Source organism: Homo sapiens, chromosome 22 (genome assembly GCF_000001405.40).
Source record: "Homo sapiens chromosome 22, GRCh38.p14 Primary Assembly".
Lineage (NCBI taxonomy): Eukaryota > Metazoa > Chordata > Mammalia > Primates > Hominidae > Homo > Homo sapiens.
Window position 1 is genome coordinate 19688138 of NC_000022.11, and position 18544 is coordinate 19706681.

The 18544-nt window shown below is 49.9% G+C and overlaps 4 annotated features.

Annotated features, from left to right (window-relative positions):
• Positions 1–849: an enhancer, noted in NCBI's record as "H3K4me1 hESC enhancer chr22:19675661-19676509 (GRCh37/hg19 assembly coordinates)". NCBI's record gives its function as "activates a minimal SCP1, AML or CMV promoter by ChIP-STARR-seq in primed H9 embryonic stem cells {active_cell/tissue: H9 hESC(primed)}" and the evidence as "EXISTENCE:reporter gene assay evidence [ECO:0000049][PMID:30033119]".
• Positions 3832–4391: an enhancer, noted in NCBI's record as "H3K27ac-H3K4me1 hESC enhancer chr22:19679492-19680051 (GRCh37/hg19 assembly coordinates)". NCBI's record gives its function as "activates a minimal SCP1, AML or CMV promoter by ChIP-STARR-seq in primed H9 embryonic stem cells {active_cell/tissue: H9 hESC(primed)}" and the evidence as "EXISTENCE:reporter gene assay evidence [ECO:0000049][PMID:30033119]".
• Positions 16928–17665: an enhancer, noted in NCBI's record as "OCT4-NANOG-H3K27ac-H3K4me1 hESC enhancer chr22:19692588-19693325 (GRCh37/hg19 assembly coordinates)". NCBI's record gives its function as "activates a minimal SCP1, AML or CMV promoter by ChIP-STARR-seq in naive and primed H9 embryonic stem cells {active_cell/tissue: H9 hESC(naive and primed)}" and the evidence as "EXISTENCE:reporter gene assay evidence [ECO:0000049][PMID:30033119]".
• Positions 17666–18402: an enhancer, noted in NCBI's record as "OCT4-NANOG-H3K27ac-H3K4me1 hESC enhancer chr22:19693326-19694062 (GRCh37/hg19 assembly coordinates)". NCBI's record gives its function as "activates a minimal SCP1, AML or CMV promoter by ChIP-STARR-seq in primed H9 embryonic stem cells {active_cell/tissue: H9 hESC(primed)}" and the evidence as "EXISTENCE:reporter gene assay evidence [ECO:0000049][PMID:30033119]".

An 18544-nucleotide genomic window follows, 5' to 3' on the forward strand; every position in this document is an offset into this window, starting at 1 on the left:
TGTAGTCACAGCCAACAAGTGTGGAAACCGCCTCAGGACCGGCTTGAGTGGAGCGGCTGCGGGAGTTACTTCATGACTGTGGTCTCACGCTGTGTTTCGCCACCCATCCCTGCCTGGCCTGGCTTCCTTCCTTCCTCCTGGGTACGTTGGCCCTTGGCTCTCTCCTCATTAACTGGCCCCTCGGACCCCGGCTGGCCAGCTGTCTGCAGCCTCCTGGGTGACACCTTCACCCCTGCCTCCTCGGGGGTCTGCTGCCGCCACATCAATCTCCCTAACACCCTGGGCATGCCACCCCTCTGGAGACCTCCCTAGTCTCTCTCGCAGGGCCCCCAACCTGCTCAGCCCAGGCCCACTGCCCTCTCCCTGCCCGGACACGTGCTCCCGTGGCCCGGCCGTGCCTGCCCACACACCTGCCCTCTCTGAGGTTCACATGTGGCATCCAGGGGCCCTTCCCCAACAGCTCTGCCTGGTGCAGCCTCCCCCTCAGCCTCCTCTTCCCCCCGAGCAGGGTTTGCAGAGGCCCAGAGGCTGCCGGGATGAGTAGATGTTGGGATCCTGCTTACTGGGCGTGTCTTATCCCCCAGAGCAATGGCCTTGGAGGTCAGGGACCCAGCATGGCCATGCTGGCTTGGGGTTTAGGAGCTGTCTCACCAGAGCCCCGCCTCAGCCCACAGCCCCGGGCCTGTTTCCTTGAAGGCTCCCCAGAGCCCCATGCCTGGTTTTCTGGCCAGAGCCCTTGGCAGTGACCCCTGCTCTCCGCCTGCAGCTCTGGGCGTCCTCTCAGCCCCAAGCCCTGATAGGTGCCCCCTGTCTCTGTGCCTGCAGCCTTCAGGAGTGGCCCACACATTGGCTTTTATCTCTGGGCTCTCTGTCACCTCCTCTCCCTCCTGCCACCCTCTGCTCACAGGCTGCGGGTGTGGGGCATCCAGGAGCTGGCCGGTGGAAAGAGGAGCAGGTGCCCTTACGCAGTGGGGAGCAGACACACTTGTGCTGCTTTTCCCTTGGGGCTTGGGGTGGCCACTGGGGCAGGACATGAGGACAGACCAGCCCTCGTCCCCCCAGTGCAGGGGGCAGATCTCACTGCCAGGTGAAACCCTGCTGACCATCCATGTGGACCCCTCAGCTTGGCTGGATGCAGGAGGTGGTTGCACAGTTGCAGGTGGGGCATGGAGGGAGTGGAGCAGCCCCTTACCCCAACACAGGCCCCATTCCTGCTTAACCGGATGTTCCGAGGAGAAGCACAGCCCAACAGGTGTGCACAGGAAGCTCCCATCAGTGCTGTCCTGGGAAAGGCCCATCCTGAATGAAGTGTGTTGCTCAGATCCGAAGAGCGCTGCATCTTCACAGGTCAGGGTGGAAACCTCCTGGTGCACGGCCCGGGAGGGGCACCCGTGGCAGGGCCAGCCCCTGTGAGGCTGCACAGATGAGCTCGAGCAGAGAGTCTGGGGCCGGCCACATCCCACGTCCGACCCTGAGCTGGGGCCCTGGGGGAGCCCCTGTGGCTTTCGTACCAGCCACGCCTGTATGTAGAGAGCTGAGTGTCTGCTGTGGAAGACCACGAGTCACATGGCAGACATGGGCACTCGGCCCAGGCGATGCTGACCCATCCATCAGCTCCTACAGGACCACAAGCTCCCGTTGTGGTGGCCAGAGACTCCCAATGGCCACAGACCCACTCAGGGCTCTCTCTGGGGTCTTCCGGAGAAAAGGAAAGCTCAATGAGCTCCTTAAACCTTTCACTTCAAGTTGTTGCTTTTAAACATTTTGCTTCGTGGCCTTTCTTGCTCCTTCTGTAAAAATCTACATTGTGCTACCATTTTTTTTTTTTTTTGGCAAGGTGTCACTCTGCCACCCAGGCTAGAGTGCAGTGCTGTGATCATGACTCACTGTAGCCTCAAACTCCTGGGCTCAAAGGATCCTCCAGCCTCAGCCTCCCAAGTAGCTGGGACTACAGGTATATCCCACAGCATCCAGCTAATTTTTTGAAAATTTTTTTGGTAGAGATGAGGTCTTACCATGTTGGCCAGGCTGGTCTCAAACTCCTGGGCTCAAGCGATCCTCCTGTCTCGGCCTCCCAAAGTGCTGGGATTACAGGCGTGAGCCACTATGCCCACTCAACATAGTGATTTTCTAACTCCTTCATTTCTTCTCCATTTAGTAGTTGGCTTTCCACCGTAAGGAAAACTGCCCAGTCTCCCCTCTGGCTACCAGTGAAGGCTTGTGGGGTTTTCTTTGATTCGGTGAGTTATATTCAGTGGCTGTGGGGCTTGTTTGGATGCTGGCTGACCGGCCCCGTGTCCCTGTCATGGTGGAGCACGCCCTTGCTTCCTGGCACCACCGCTGCACCCGGCTCAGCCTGCACTTTAACTGCTGCAGCGCTGGAGGCAGCCACTTCCCTGAGGAGCCCTGCTTCCTTTTGTTTGTTTGTTTTTGTTTCTTTGCTTTGAGACGGAGCCTCATTCTGTTGCCCAGGCTGGAGCGCCCTGGCAGGATCATGGCTCTTTGGCTCAGCCTCCCAAGTAGCTGGGACTACAGGTCCCCAACATCATACTTGATTACATTTTTAAAATTGTTTATAGAGATGGGGTCTCATTATGTTGCCCAGGCTGGTCTCAAACTCCTGGGCTTAAGTGATCCTCCTGCCCTGGCCTCCCAAAGTGCTGGGATTATAGGCGTGAGCCACCACGCCCGACCAAGGCCAGCTTTCTTAGAACAGAGTATTTCTTCCACACTGGGGTCCAGGCATGAGTTGTGCTCACTTTACCATGGTATCATTTAGATCCTAGAAAAAAATTATTTGTGAGATTATTATAATATGTATAAATAAATATACAATTAATAATACTATTAAACATCATTGAATTGTGATTATATTATTAATATAGTTGTATTATTAATATGTGATTGTACTATTAATTTTAATTATCGTGTAATTAGTTATAATGCATCCATAATAACTCATACCATGAATTCACAGTCACTCCTAGTCCTGCCCGGCCCTGCAGGCTCCTCCTTGTGTCCGTCATTCCGTATCTGTACCTCCTTCTACAAGAGAGCCCTAACTTCTAACAGCATCACTATGTCTATCATCTATTTAGCCCTCCAAACACACAAGACACTTCCAGAATCTTCTTATTCTCCAGAGGAAAATGTTTCATCAAAACACCAGAGGCAGCCAGCATTTTGACAAGAAAACACAACAAACTTCATTTCTTTGGAAATTTGATCTAGGAAAATGTGTCTCTCTCATTTTGCTAATGGATGTCTGTTTATCAGTCAGAGACCATGAAACGACTCCTTATTTTGAATATCAGATTTTCTTCTTATTCTCAAACCTCAAAACAGCTTGGTAATAATTTATTTGGAAATTATCCGAAAGGTAAAAATAAAAACAGAAGCAAGTAATATGCCTTGTTACTGCTCCTTAATTAGGTAAGAGCCTCATTTCTTGGGCTGCTGGGATGTAAATTCTGCATAAAATGGCTGGCTTTCTTTTTAAGGCTTTGCAGCAGTGTTAACATTCGGCTGCCAACTAAGTCGATTTTAATCGCCTTTACAGGAACCTTCACTTTTTCTGTTTGTTCCATTCCACTCTTTCCTCAGTGGATAATCCCGCATGTTAAGATTCCTGTGCAGCCGAGGGAGGCGGCTTTTGGCCGGGAGCTTGTGCTCTGGGTGTGAGCGTGGCTGTTGGGAACGCCTTCTGCTCAGAATTCCGTGGTCTCAGCAGATCGTTCAGTCTAGCCACTGGGACGGGGCCGACCGCACACTGCTGGACCTCTGAGCGGAAGATGTGTGAGGTTAGGAGGGAAGGAATAAACAAAGTCGCCTTCTTCCCTGCTGACCTGCCTTGGTATGTCACCATTACTCAGCTCCTTACAGAACAGGAGCTTCAAGCTTTCACCGGACAGGCTGGCTTCTTCCCGGGAGCCCCCGCCCAAGGTGGGGCCTGGTGGGGTGGGGCCACCATCGCTGCTGGAAGCTTTAGCTCTTTTCCCTCAGCTTGGCCTCCTTTGGCAACTAATTTTTTAACTTTTTCTAATAGGTAACAGAGTCCCAAGATTCCAAGTTCCAGGAGCATGAAAGGACTCACTTGTGGAGATTCCTGCCTGGGGCTCCCACCCACCTAAGGAATGCCATCCTTGTCACCGGCTCACGGGGCAGCTCTTTGGTATCCTTCCAGGGTGGTGTGTACAAGTACAGGCACATGGATGCATGGATGCATGAGCATTTTTTTCTTTTGCCGACATATTAATACACCCGGCAGCACTCTAGGCCCATTGGCCTGCAACTTTTCATTTGATTGATTTTTAATTATTTACTTTTTTAAAAAATTGTAGTTAAATATACATGACATATATTTACCATTTGAGTCTTTTTTTTTTTTTTGAGATGGAGTCTTGCTCTATCTCCCAGGCTGGAGTGCAGTGGTGTGATCTCGGCTCACTGCAACCTCCACAGCCTGATCCTGGGTTCAAGGGATTCTCCTGCCTCAGCCTCCCGAGTAGTTGGGATTACAGGCGCCTGCCACCATGCCTGGATAATTTTTTTTTCTTTTGAGACGGAGTCTTGCTCTGTCACCCAGGCTGGAGTGCAGTGGTGCAATCTCAGCTCACTGCAAGCTCCGCCTCCCAGGTTCACGCCATTCTCCTGCCTCAGCCTCCCGAATAGCTGCGACTACAGGTGCCCGCCACCACACCGGCTAATTTTTTGTATTTTTAGTAGAGACAGGGTTTCACCGTGTTAGCCAGGATGGTCTCGATCTCCTGACCTCGTGATCAGCCTGCCTCGGCCTCCCAAAGTGCTGGGATTAAAGGCATGAGCCACTGTGCCCGGCCTAATTTTTGTATTTCTGTAGAGACAGGATTTCACCATGTTGGCTAGGCTGGTCTCAAACTCTTGACCTCAGGTGATCTGCCCTCCTCGCCCTCCCAAAGTGTTGGGATTACAGGTGTGAGCCACAGCACCCAGACCATTTTTAAGTGCACAGTTCAGTGGTATTACATACATTCACAGTGTTGTATAATCGTCACCACCATCCATCTTCAGAACTTTATGCATCTTGCAAAACTAAAACCTGCCCCCATTAAACAGCAGCCCCCCTCATCCCCTGCCCCCAACCCCTGGCAACCCCTATTCTACTGTCCGTGCCTATGAACCTCACTACTCTATGCACCTCACATACGTGGAACCACATGGTATCTGCCCTTTCGTCGCTGGCGTCTCTTAGCATAACGTCCTCAAGGTTCATCGGTGTTGGGGCACGTGTCGGGATTTTATGGTGTGTGAATGACGTCTCAGTTTAAAATGTTCTAGAGTTACCCAGTGGTGATGGATACACAACTCTGAATATGCCAACAACTTCTGACTGGTACACTTTGAGTGGGTGATTGTATGGTCTTTGAATTGTGTCAATAAAGCTGTCATTTAAAATAAAATACCAATCCGTGCTGGCACAGAGAAGGACTGGGAGACTCCGGGCAGTGCGCAGGCCCCTGTGTCTAGGAGAGTGAGGGGCCTGCTGACCTCGTCCCGGGCAGGCGTCCCAAGAGTCTAAGTTCCAGGCCTTAGGTCTCCTTACGTGGGTCTTGTGCGCATGGCTCAGGTGGAGTGGCGACCTGAACAGTCGGCACTGCTACGTGAGGACGAGTGTGGCCCCAGATGGAAGGCCTGAGCGGAGGCAGCAGGGATGAGGGTGGCATGGGTGTTGTTATGCACTGATTTATGTTCTCCCTTCCAAAACTCCACACCAAAGCCCTCACCCCCAGGACCTCCGAATGTGTATTTGGAGGTAGGGTCCTTAAGGAGGTAGTTAAGTTAAAATAAATTCATGAGGGGGTAGGTCCTGATCCCATATGACTGGTGTCCTTCTAAGAAGAAATTGGGACACAGACATGTACAGAGGGACAACTCCGGGAGGACTCAGGGAGAAGGTGCCACCCGCAAGGCAAGGAGAGAGGCCTCAATCGGAACCAGCCCTGCCCACACCTTGATCTTGGACTCCCAGCCTCCGAGACAAGACAATAAATGCCTGTGGTTAAGCCACCGGTCTGCAGTGCCTCAGGACACAGACACAGGTGGTGATGAAGCCAGGCGAGAACATTTTGAATGCATCTAGGGATAGAATCGGCAGGACTTGCTGATGGATCCAATGCAGGACAAGTAGGTGACCCTGAGGATTTTATTTGAGCAAATGGTGCAGTCACCAGTCAGACGGGGGACCCCCGGGCAAGCACAGTGCAGTTTCTTTGCAGGTGCATCCATGAAGGGTGTGATGCCTACCAGACATTCAGGAGCTGCAGCCAGGTGGGCAGCCCACAGGGGAGTCTGGGCTTCTGGGAGGAAGATGCAGAGCCGTCCTGGACAGGGCAGCAGCAGCACCAGCCTTCACTGGAGCCGGGGCCTGCAGCCTCCATTGGTGGCACACCCAGGTGAGGTCTTCACACTGCCTACACTAAAGCAAATGAACAACAAAAATCATGAGAGACCCTTGGATCAGTTTTGCACGGGAGAAGTCATTTCTTTCTTTTCTTTTTTTTTTTTTCAAGATGGGGTCTCACTCTGACACCCAGGCTGGAGTGCCGTGGCGCGATCTCAGCTCACTGCAACTTCTGCCTCCCAGGCTCAAGTGATGCTCCCACCTCAGCCTCCTGAAGCTGGAACCACAGGCATGCGCCACCACACCTAGCTGTTTGTTTGTTTGTTTTGGTAGAGACGGGGTTTCGCCGTGTTGCCCAGGCTGGTCTCAAACTCCTGAGCACAAGCGATCTGGGATTACGAGTCACTGCGCAGGGTGGGGAGAAGTCATTTCTATGCGCCTCGGGGAAGCAGTGTGGACAAGGCCCGCAGGGCCCTGCTCTTGGGCTGATTCCCTTGAGGGAGAGCCTAATGTGTAAGTGAAAAATGAAATGTGCAGGAGAGCCACTGGTCAAGCAGCAGTGCTGGGGCAGCAGGCCCTGTCGGGGATGCCAGCAGGCTCAGAGCACAGCCAGGAGGAGCCGGCCTCCAGACAAAAGCACATTTGCTAAAATAACTTTGAGAAATTTTTTAATGTTTTTCAAATTTTTACCGAAATTTAGAAAAATTTCCTCTAAACTTTGCTTAAACCGTGCTAAAAAGTGGGGACAAGCCTGAACAAAGGCCTGACACCAGCAAAGGTCAGCGAGCAGTGCAGAAGAGGCGGGAAATATTGCCAGGAGGTGGCCAGGCAAGGAGAGGCGAGGGAGGTCCCCAGAGCGTCTCCCCACCCCCGATTGGACCCAAGGCACTGGGTAGTTTGCCGAGGGCAGTGCAGCCACCTTGGGCCAGGGTCCCAGCCGCTTGCCCTCTGTCAGGAGTTGCTTTCTTTTTTTTTTTTTTTTTTTTTTGAGACGGAGTCTCGCTCTGTCACCCAGGCTGTAGTGCAGTGGCTCCATCTCGGCTCACTGCAAGCTCCGCCTCCCGGGTTCACGCGATTCTCCTGCCTCAGCCTCCCGAGTAGCTGGGACTACAGTTGCCCGCCACCACGCCCGGCTGATTTTTTGTATTTTTAGTAGAGACGGGGTTTCACCGTGTTGGCCAGGATGGTCTCCATCGCCTGACCTCGTGATCCACCCGCCTCGGCCTCCCAAAGTGCTGGGATTACAGGCGTGAGCCACCGCGCCCGGCCAGGAGTTGCTTTCTTAGGTATCTCCTTGGATCATGAGTTTCAGCGAGGAGGGGTCGTCTGCACAGGAAACACGCCCCGGCCGTTGGAGACTCGCTGCTGCCCCCACGAGGCACTGCTCCTTTGGAGTGAGCTGGCCAAGCACAACACAGAGCCTGCTCCCCAAACTGGGCGGGACAGCGCCAGGCCTACAGTCACCACGGAATGTGCTCTCTCACTCAGCGCCTCTCCTGGAGCCTGAGATGGCTCCATTCAGCACTGCAATCCTCCCAGCGAACCCCAGCCAACCCAAACAGCCTTGTTTGTGCGGGGCTCTGTTTCCCAGTCAGGATACAGGGCAGCAGGGCGGGAAGGAGCCTCAGCAGCTCCCCAGCAGCACACACCACCGGCCTGGCTTCCCTGCTCTGTTCGGGAATCTCCTCCCCCACACCCCCCGCAGCCCCCAGCCCCCCAGGAACACTTCCCCAGTGGGCTCTAGCCTCACCTACACAGCCCCCACCAGACCCCTGCGCCCGTGTCTCAGAGGCTGTCACAGAGACAACCGATGGCCCTGCCCATCATCCAGCTGGTCACGCCGATGCCTCCCCCACCTCCCGCACCACATCTGGTGCCACACAGCTGTGACCAGGTGTGACTGTACACAGGGATGGCCCCCATCCCCTCTCCACTGTCAGTGCCCTGGCCCCAGGCCTCTGCTGTGCCTTTGGGGAGTCCTCCCACTGCCCACTCTGCTGTCCAGAGACAGACAAATATACATTATCCAGTCTGTGACAGAGAGATAAAAGATTCACTAAAATTGTTTAAAAGGATGAGATTCTGCAGATTGTATTTTTCAAAGATGGCCACAACACTTCCTTCTATCCCACATGCTCTTCCAGAACCCTGATACTATCTGTGAATCTCAGTGATCTCATTCCCTTATAAACCATAGAATGCCACAGAACTGATGCTACAGAGCTCCTGAGGCTGGGGCGCAAGAGATAATGCAGCATCTGCCTTGGGTGCCAGAGCACTATGCACAGAGACTTGGGGCCACCATGCTTTCAACGTTGCCAGGCTAGCCCACCTGCACAGAGGTAGTTGCCAGGCTAGCCCACCTGCACAGAGGTGGTTGCCAGGCTAGCCCACCTGCACAGAGGTGGTTGCCAGGCTAGCCCACCTGCACAGAGGTGGTTGCCAGGCTAGCCCACCTGCACAGAGGTGGTTGCCAGGCTAGTCCACCTGCACAGAGGTGGTTGCCAAGCTAGTCCACCTGCAGAGATAGTTGCCAGGCTAGTCTACCTGCAGAGATGATATAAGACTTCATGGAAAGAAACATGTCCAGCCAGTTGCTCCAGCTCCAGCCACTGTCTGCCTGGAATGGCATGAACTACCCAGCTAAGATATCCTGAATTCCTGACCCCCAGAAACCATGATAGATAGTAAGACTAAATTGCTATTTTAAGTCACTAAGTTTTGAGTTGTTATGCAGCAATAGATAATGTTATGCAGCATTTCATAACAGAATAAAGTGCACAGAGAGACCCACAACATGTAGCCAATTGATTTTCATCAAAGATGAAATTGGCAATTCAATGGGGAAAGTCAAATATTTTAAACAAATAGCACTCAAACTATTGGATAAATTGGGAGGATGAACTTTGACTTCTACCTAACACCGTACGCAAAAACTAATTCAAGGTGGGGCGCAGTGGCTCAAGCCTGTAATCCCAGCACTTTGGAAGGCCAAGGCAGGTGGATCACTTGAGGCCAGGAGTTCGAGACCGGCCTGGCCAACAGGGTGAAACCCCGTCTCTACTAAAATACAAAAAATTAGCCGGGGGTGGTGGCACATGCCTGTGATCCCAGCTACTCAGGAGGCTGAGGCATGAGAATCACTTGAACCTGGAAGGCAGAGGTGGCAGTGAGCAGAGATCGCACCACTGCACTCCAGCCTGGGTGACAAAGTGAGATCCTATCTCAAAAAAACAAAACAAAACAAAAACTAATTCAAGATAAAATTATAGTCCTAAACATAACAATAAAACTGCAAAGCTTCTAGAAGAAACAGAGGAGAATATATGTATAAGCTTGGAGTCAGTAGGCAAAGATTTCTTGGAAAGGACACAAAAAGCATGAAATATAAAATTTTTAAATTGATACATTGGATTATCAAAATTATAAACATCTGTTTCTCAAAAGATAACATTAAAATGAAAATAATTCTGGTGTGGTGACTCACTCCTGTAATCACAGCATTTTGGGAAGCCAAGGTGGGCAGATTGCTTGAGCCCAGGAGTTTGAGAGCAGCCTGGGCAACATAGCAAGACCCTGTCTCTACAAAAAATTTAAAAATTAGCTGAGCATGGTGGTGGACACTTGTGGTCCTAGCTACTGGGGAGGCTGAGGTGGGAGGATTGCCTGAGCCTGGGAGTTTGAGGCTACAGTGAGTGATGATTGAGCCACTGCACTCCAGCCTGGGTGACCGAGTAAGATCCTGTCTCAAAAAAGAAAAAAAAAAAAAGAAAGAAAAGAAAAGAAAAACAACGACCAAAAGCCATTGTCTCAAGAAAATATTTGCAAGGGGCATATCTGACACTGAACTGGTACTCATATTTTTTATTATTGATTTGCAGAAGTTCTTTATATATTCAAAGTTATAAAATAGGCAGAATTAATCTGTGATTATAGAACACAGGTCAGTAGTGGCCTGGACTGGGGTGGGGGTGGGAGGGTGGGAATTGACTGGGAAGGGACACGGAACACTTTCCAAGGGTAATGAAAATAGGATCTTGATTGGGGTTTTGGTTACATGGGTTTATATATTTGTCAAAATTCATTGAATTGAGAACTTAAGATGTGTGTATTTCTCTGCATGTAAATTTCACCTCAATAAAATAATTTAAAATAAACAAAAAGGGAAATGGGTATCCAATCTGCAGCAAGTAGGTTAAAATAACAACGATAGCTATTTCAGTTCCTTTGCCTTTCCATATAAATTTTAGAATAGTCTTATGACTATTTGAATATCCACTAAAAAACCTGGCTTATATTTTTATATTTTGATGTATAGGAATGTATTTGGGCATAACTGACATCTTTACAATACTGAGTCTTCTAATCCATGAATATGGTGTATCTCTTTCTTTATTTAGATATTCTTTGGTTTATTTCATCCACATTTTGTTGCTTTCAGCATAAAAATCCTACCCATGTTTTGTTAGATTTAACACCTGAGCACTTTACTTTTTGAGAGATTATAAATGATACTGCTTTTTTCTTTTTTTCTTTTTTTCTTTTTTTTTGAGATGGAGTCTCTATCTGTCACCCAGGCTGGAGTGCAGTGGTGTGATGTCGGCTCACTGCAAGCTCCATCTCCTGGGTTCATACCATTCTCCTGCCTCAGCCTCCCAAGTATCTGGGACTACAGGTGCCCACCACCATGCCTGGCTAATTTTTTAAATATTTTTAGTAGAGACGGTGTTTCACCATGTTAGCCAGGATGGTCTTGATCTCCTGACCTCGTGATCCGCCCACCTTGGCCTCCCAAAGTGCTGGGATTACAGGCATGAGCCACTGCACCCAGCCCAATGATACTACATTTTTAAAGAAATACAATTGATTTTTAAAATTTTTTTATTTTTATTTTTTGTAGAGAAAAGATCTCGTTATGTTGACCAAGCTGGTCTCAATGTCCCGGCCTCAAATGACCCTCCTGCCTGAGCCTCCCAAAGGTCTGGGATTACAGGCATGAGGCATCGAGCCACAGTTGGTTTTTGTATGTCAATCTTATATTCTTCAACTTGCTCAAGTGAGAAGAAACAATCTGCCTGATCTCAAGGCCTATTCCATAATTATGGTATTTAAAACTATATGGGATTAGCAGAAGGGTGGACACATAGATCAGTGAAACAGTAGAGAACTCAGAAATAGATCCATATAAACATGCCCTAGTGATGTTTTAAAAATAAATTTTATTGTGTATATTTGAGGTTTACAACATGATAGGTTTTTTTGGTTTGGGGTTTTTGGGGTTTTTTTTTGAAACAGGGTCTCACTCTGTTGTCCAGGCTGGAGTGCAGTGGTGCAATCACAGCTCACTGTAGCCTCGACCTTCCAGGCTCAAGTGATCCTCTCCCTCAGCCTCCCAGACAGTTGGGGCTACAGGTGTGCACCACCACGCCCAGCTAATTTTTCATATATATATATATATATATATATATTTTTTTTTTTTTTTTTTTTTTTTGTAGAGATGGGATTTCACCATGTCACCCAGGCTGGTCTTGAACTTCTGGGCTCAAGCAATTCTCCCACCTCAGCCTCCTAAAGTGCTGGGAGAACGGGCGTGTCCCTAGTGATTTTTGACAGAAGTTCAAAAGCAACTCAATGAAGAAAGGATACAACAAATGGTGCTGAAGCAACCGGACATATATAGATGTGTTAGGCCATTCTTGTATTGCTATAAAGGAATATCTGAGACTGGGCAATATATAAAGGAATGAGGTTTAATTGGCTCACAGTTCTGCAGGCTTCACAGAAAGCATGGTGGTGGCATCTGTTCAGCTTCTTGGGAGGCCTCAGGAAGCTTTCAACCATGGCTGACGGTGAAGGGGGTCAGGCATTTCACGTGGCAGAGCAGGAGCAAGAGCTAGGGGAGGTGCCAACACTTCTAAATGAGTAGATCTCATGGGAACTCACTCGCAATCACAAGAACACCACCAAGGGGATGGTGGTAAACCAATCATGAGAAATCCACCCCCATGATCCAACCATCACCTCAAACACTGGGGATTACATTTCAACATGAGATTTTGTGGGGACACAGAGCCAAACCATATCAATAGGCAAACAAAAACAAAACCAGAAACCTCAATCTCACATCTTATTTAAAAATCGACTCAAAATAGAATGACAGGCCGGGCACAGTGGCTCATGCCTGTAATCCCAGCACTTTGGAAGGCCGAGGTGGGCCAATCACCTGAGGTCAGGAGTTCGAGACCAGCCTGGGCAACATGGCGAAACCCCGTCTCTACTAAAAATACAAAAAGTAGCTGAGAGTGGTGGTGGGTGCCTGGCTGAGGCAGGAGAATCTCTGGAACCCAGGAGGCAGAAGTTGCAGTGAGCCGAGGTCGTGCCACCGCACTCCAGGCTGGGTGACAGAGCAAGACTCAAGAAAGAAAGAAAGAAAGAGAGAGAGAGAGGAAGGAAGGAAGGAAGGAAAGAAGGAAGGAAGGAAGGAAAAAGAAGGAAAGAAGGAAGGAAGGAGAAAAGAAAAGAAAAGAAAAGAGATGCCATCTCAAAAAAAAAAAAGGAATAATAAACTGAAGTTTAGAATGTAAAACTATAAAACTTTCAGGGAAAAAAATACAGGAGAATAATCTCTAGGATCTAGAGCTAGGGAATGAGTTATTAGACTTGACTCGAAAAGCAGGAGCCATAAAAAGAAAAATTGATAAACTGGACTCCATTAAAATTAAAACTTTTGCTCTGTGAAAATTTCTCTGTTAAAAGTGGTTCTGTTACAAGAATGAAAAATCAAGCTACAGACTAGGAGAAAACAGTTGCAAAAGATATATCCAAGAAAGGGCTAGTACTAGAATATATAAAGAACTCAGGCTGGGCGCAGTGGCGCATGCCTGTAATCCCACCAATTTGGGAGGCCAAGGCAGGCAGATTACTTGAGGCCAGGAGTTCGAGACCAGCATGGCCAACATGGCAAAACCCATCCCTACTAAAAATACAAAAGAAAAAAAAAATTAGCCAGGCGTGGTGGCACCCATCTGTAGTTCCAGCTACTCAGGTGGCTGAAGCACAAGAATCACTTGAACCCAAGAGGTGGAAGTTGCAGTGAGTCGAGATCATGCCACTGCACTCCAGCCTGGGCGTCAGAGCAAGACTCCGTCTCAACAAAAACAACAACAAAAAAACCCTCTCAAACTCAACAATAATAAAAATCCAATTAGAACATGGACATGAGACATGAATAGACATTTCACCAAAGAGGATACACAGGTAACAAATAAGCACATGAAAAATACATCATTAATCATTAAGGAAATGCAAATTAAAACCACAGTGATATCACTATACATCTATTAGAGTGGCAAAAAAAGCCTGGACACAGTGGCTCATGCCTGTAATCCCAACAATTCGGGAGGCCGAGGCAGAAGGATCGCTTGAGTCGAGGAAGTGGAGCTTTGGTGAGCTGCGATTTCACCACTGCACTCTAGCCTGGGTGACAGAGTGAGACCCTGTCTAAAATATATATATAATTTTTTTAATTAAAAAAAAATGGCCAAAAAAGGTGATACTGTTAAATGCTGGTAAGAATTTGGGGAAACTAGAGCACTCATATACTGCTAGTGGGAATGTAAAATGGTACAGCTTCTCTAAAAAGCAGTTTGGCAGTTTCCTTTTTTTTTGAGTCAGAGTCTCGCTCTGTCACCCAGGCTGGAGTACAATGGCGCCATCTCGGCTCACTGCAACCTCTGCCTCCCGGGTTCAAGCAATTCTCCTGCCTCAGCCTCCCAAGTAGCTGGGACTACAGATGCATGCCAGCACACCTGGCTAATTTTTGTATTTTTAGTACAGAACTACTTGGCAATAAAAGAGAAAGCTATCAACACACAGTAACCTGGATTAATCTCCAGAGAATTATGCCAAGTGAAAAAAGCCAATTCTAAAACTTCCCACACTGCATGATTCCATCAACGTGACATTCAAAAAATGCCAAAATCATGGAAGCGGTGATTGAGAGACTCAGGAGGGGAGGAGAGTGGAAACCGGGCATGGCTGTCAAAGGGTGATGGGAATGTTCTGTGCCTCACCTTGATCAACGACAACATCTAGCTTGTAGTATTATGATATTATAATACAGTGTTTCAAGATGGCATCATTGGGGAAAACTGGGTGAAGGGCACCTGGACTCTCTTTGCATTGTTTCTTATGCTGTATCTCAAAATAACAGGTTTCATTTTAAAAATATACAAACCCTTGTGACTAATTTAATCGACGTATCCTACTAGAGATACTTTTCTGGGGAGCCGTGGGGAGCCTACCACACCCCTCCTTGTGGCTCCATTAGCCTCTTCTCACTTAGACCAGGGATGATGGTGAGGTGGTGCCAAGGAACGTGGTGGGTGCAGCTCTTACTCCAAAGTCAGCGAGGAGCAAGGAGGAGGTGTTTGCGCTGTCACTTCAGCAGTGACCAGATTGCAGACAGGGAGGCAGGTAAGACTAGGACTTGAATTGTGTGTGGTCGAGACGAGGAGTTGAAGAGTTAAATCCTCATCCTCTGGAATGGTAAGTCAACACACAGTGCTAAAACTATTTGCCATGGAAATGTCTCCCACCGTGAAAGTGTTCATACGCTTCTGTTTTGTTTTGTTTTGTTTTGAGACAGGGTCTCTCTTTGCCACCCAGACTGGAGTTCAGCATGATCCTGGTTCACTGCAGCCCCTATCTCCTCCTGGGCTAAGCAGTCCCCTGACCTCAGCCTCCCAAGCAGCTGGGATTACAGGCACACACCACAGTGCTGGGCTAATTTTTTGTATTTTTTATAGAGACAGGGTATCGCCATGTTGCCTAGGCTGTCTCAAACTCCTGAGCTCAAGTGATCTGCCTGCCTCGGCCTCCCGAAGTGCTGGGATTACAGGCGTGAGCCACCAGCGCCCGGCTTCCCTCTGTATTTTAATAGTCTTCAGCATGATGTTGGCCCTGTAATAAATATCTAGACACCAATGTCTCTCTATATAAAGATATGGATAGACTGATAATATCATAGATAAAACGATATTTTATGATTAATTATTATTATTATTATTTTTTGAGACAGAGTCTTGCTCTGTCCCCCAGGCTGGAGTGCAATGGCGCAATCTCGGCTCACTGCAACCTCCACCTCCTGGGTTCAAGTGATTCTCCTGCCTCAGCCTCCCCAGTGGCTGGGATTACAGGTGTGCGCCACAACGCCTAGCTAATTTTTGTATTTTTAGTAGAGATGGGGTTTCACCATGATGGCCAGGCTGATCTCAAACTCCTGACCTCAAGTGATCCACCTGCCTCGGCCTCCAAAAGTGTTGGGATTATAGGTGTGAGCCACTGCGCCCGACTGATTAATTTTTAAAAATCACAGTGGGTAGCTAGTATTTGTGGAGCCCCTTCTCTGAGGCCCCGTGGTCCCATCTGGACCTCGCTGCACTGGGGAGCCACCTTCCACTGTTGTCCCACTGTACGGATGAGGAGCCCAAGCTCTGGTCCAGGTGTGAGCAAGTGACAAGGAGCCAAGGAGCCCTTCCCTTCACAGGTGCTTCCCTGCAGGTGGGGTGGCCAGGTGTCCTCAGACCGGGTGGCTCTCCCTCAGGGACCGGGGTGGGGCAGGAAGGAGGAAGGAGTTGTTGCGCATTCGGCACAACCCATGCCTGCTCTGCTGCCAGCCGCGTGGAAGCTTGATTGCCATACAGCACAGACTGCTGCCTTTCTATGTTGCTGACTGTTTTTAAAGAGGGGTTTTGGGAGGGGTGGTATGAAATTGATTGTTTCTCTCTTTCCTCATTACTGTTCGCACCTATTTTGGGTGTTTTGTTTTTCCCTGTGCTTCCTGTCCTCTGTGCACTAGGGAAGCCTCTCAAATGGCAACAGAAAGTGGTTGGTTTCTTTGAAGAGCATTTGAACTGAGTGAATTTTCAAAAAGCGTGGCATTGACAGAACAATGAAAGTCCCAGGATAAAGTCCAGGCCAGTTGCCATGACAGACGGCATCTGTTGTTGACAGAAACATGGAGCCAGGCTGAAACTCCGGCGGCAGGAGGGCTGCGCACCTGGGCAGGGCAGTGCCGAGCACAGCTCCCAGTTTGGGTAGCCAGTGGGACTGGGTCTGGTACCAGCCTTGATTTCGGACTGGAGCAGAGTCACCCAGTTGTGCCTCTGTTTTGTTTTCTGTGGAGCAGTGGGGGGCCCACCACACCCCTCCTCGTGGCTTCATTAGCCTCTTCTTGCCTGAACCAGGGATAATGGTGAGGTGATGCCAAGGAACATGGTGGATGCAGCTCTGCCTCCAGAGTCAGCCAGCAGCAAGAACGAGCCATGCACCATCACTGCTGCAGTGACCGGACTGCACCCCGCAGAGCTCTGATCGCCTCTCTGGGGGCTGCCGTAAGAAAACACCTGGGTGGTCTCAGACCCCAGCACTCGGGTGGCTCCTCTGAAAGAGATGTTGTTCCCGACTCCCAGCCTGTGGGTAGAGAAGGTGCCAACCCCACGAGAGTCTCCAGGCCCTGGGCCTGCTTGGACCTAATCTGCTTACAGTTCATGCAGGTTCTCTATCCAGGCCTTGCCCTCCTCCCAGCTGTTTCCTAGTCTCCTTCATCCTGCAGGAGCTGCTTTTGGTCTCACTGTACTTTGTTGAGTAGGAGGCATAGCAGCCTTGAGAGCTAGAAGGGTCCCCAGCCATCACCTGGGCCAAGTCCCGCCGTGGACAGGTGAGTGTCTACTGTTTTGTAGGGGCAGAGACTCAGCCCAGGGTCCCACGGGCTGCTAGCACTGGCGTGAGGCAGACCATTCACCTTTGCCGCTGCACGGGTCATATCCTCCCCTCTCAGCCAACGTGCTGGCCCAGCCTGGACTGGCCCAGCCCCTCTTCCCTGCTTCTGGGGTCCTGTTCACCCCACGAGCCCTCTCTCCAGCTCTTCTTGGATAAAGCCCCATGCCCAACATGGTCCCAGGCACCGGCTTTTGGGGCAGTCCTGGGATCGCCAGCAGATGGAGCTCAAGGGGGTCATGCAGACCCCACCCAGGCCTGGCTCCCAGGGGCTCCCAGGAGGGAACTTCCTACCCATTGAAATGCAAACGCTGGAATTCCAAGAAGCACTTCAGATACATACAAGTCCTGATTGTGTTTGATTCCTCCTCTGGATGGAAGGCTTCCCTCTCTGAAGTCAGACGACAAAGCAGAGGCCTGGGACTGGTGGTATAACCCAGAGACCCTGCCTGCCTGGCACTGGTGGTACAGCCTGGGACCCTGCCTGCCTGGCACCGGTGGTGTAGCCAGGGACCCTGCCTGCTTGGCACTGGCAGTGTAACCCAGGGACCCTGTCTGCCTGGCACTGGTGGTGTAGCCGGGGACCCTGCCTGTGTACCCTCTGTCCAAGTCTTGGGGTGCCCCTGTATTGTGGTTTGAATGTTTGTCTCCACAAATTCATATGGTGAAACCCTACCCTCCAGGTGATCGTACTAGAAGGTGGGGCCTTTGGGAGGTGATTAGGTCACGAGGGTGGAGCCGCATGAAAAGGATTGGTGCCCTTATAAAAGAAGACTGGAGGCCGGGCGCAGTGGCTCATGCCTGTAATCCCAACACTTTCGGAGGCTGAGGTGGGTGGATCATTTGAGGTCAGGAGTTCGAGACCAGCCTGGCCAACATGGTGAAACCCCATCTCTACTAAAAATACAAAAATTAGCTGGGCATGGTGGCAGGCACCTGTAGTCCCAGCTACTCGGGAGGCTGAGGCAGGAGAATCACTTGAACCTGGGAGGCAGAGGTTACAGTGAGCTGAGATCGTGCCACTGCACTCCAGCCTGGGAGACAAAGCAAGACTCTGTCTTAATCAATCAATCAATCAATCAATAAAAGAAGAAGCCTGGGGTCAGACACAGTGGCTCAAGCCTATAATCCCAGCACTTTGGGAGGCCCAGGTGGGAGGATCACTTGAGCCCAGGAGTTCAAGACCAGCATGGGCTACAAAGAGAGATCTCGTCTCTACAAAAAATATTTTAAAAATTAGCCAGATGTGGTGGTGTGTGTCTGTAGTCCCAGCTACTCCGGAAGTTGAGATGGGAAGATTCCTTGAGCCAGGGAGATTGAGGCTGTAGTGAGCTGTGATTGGGCCACTGCACTCCAGCCTGGGCAACAAAGTGAGACTCTGCCACT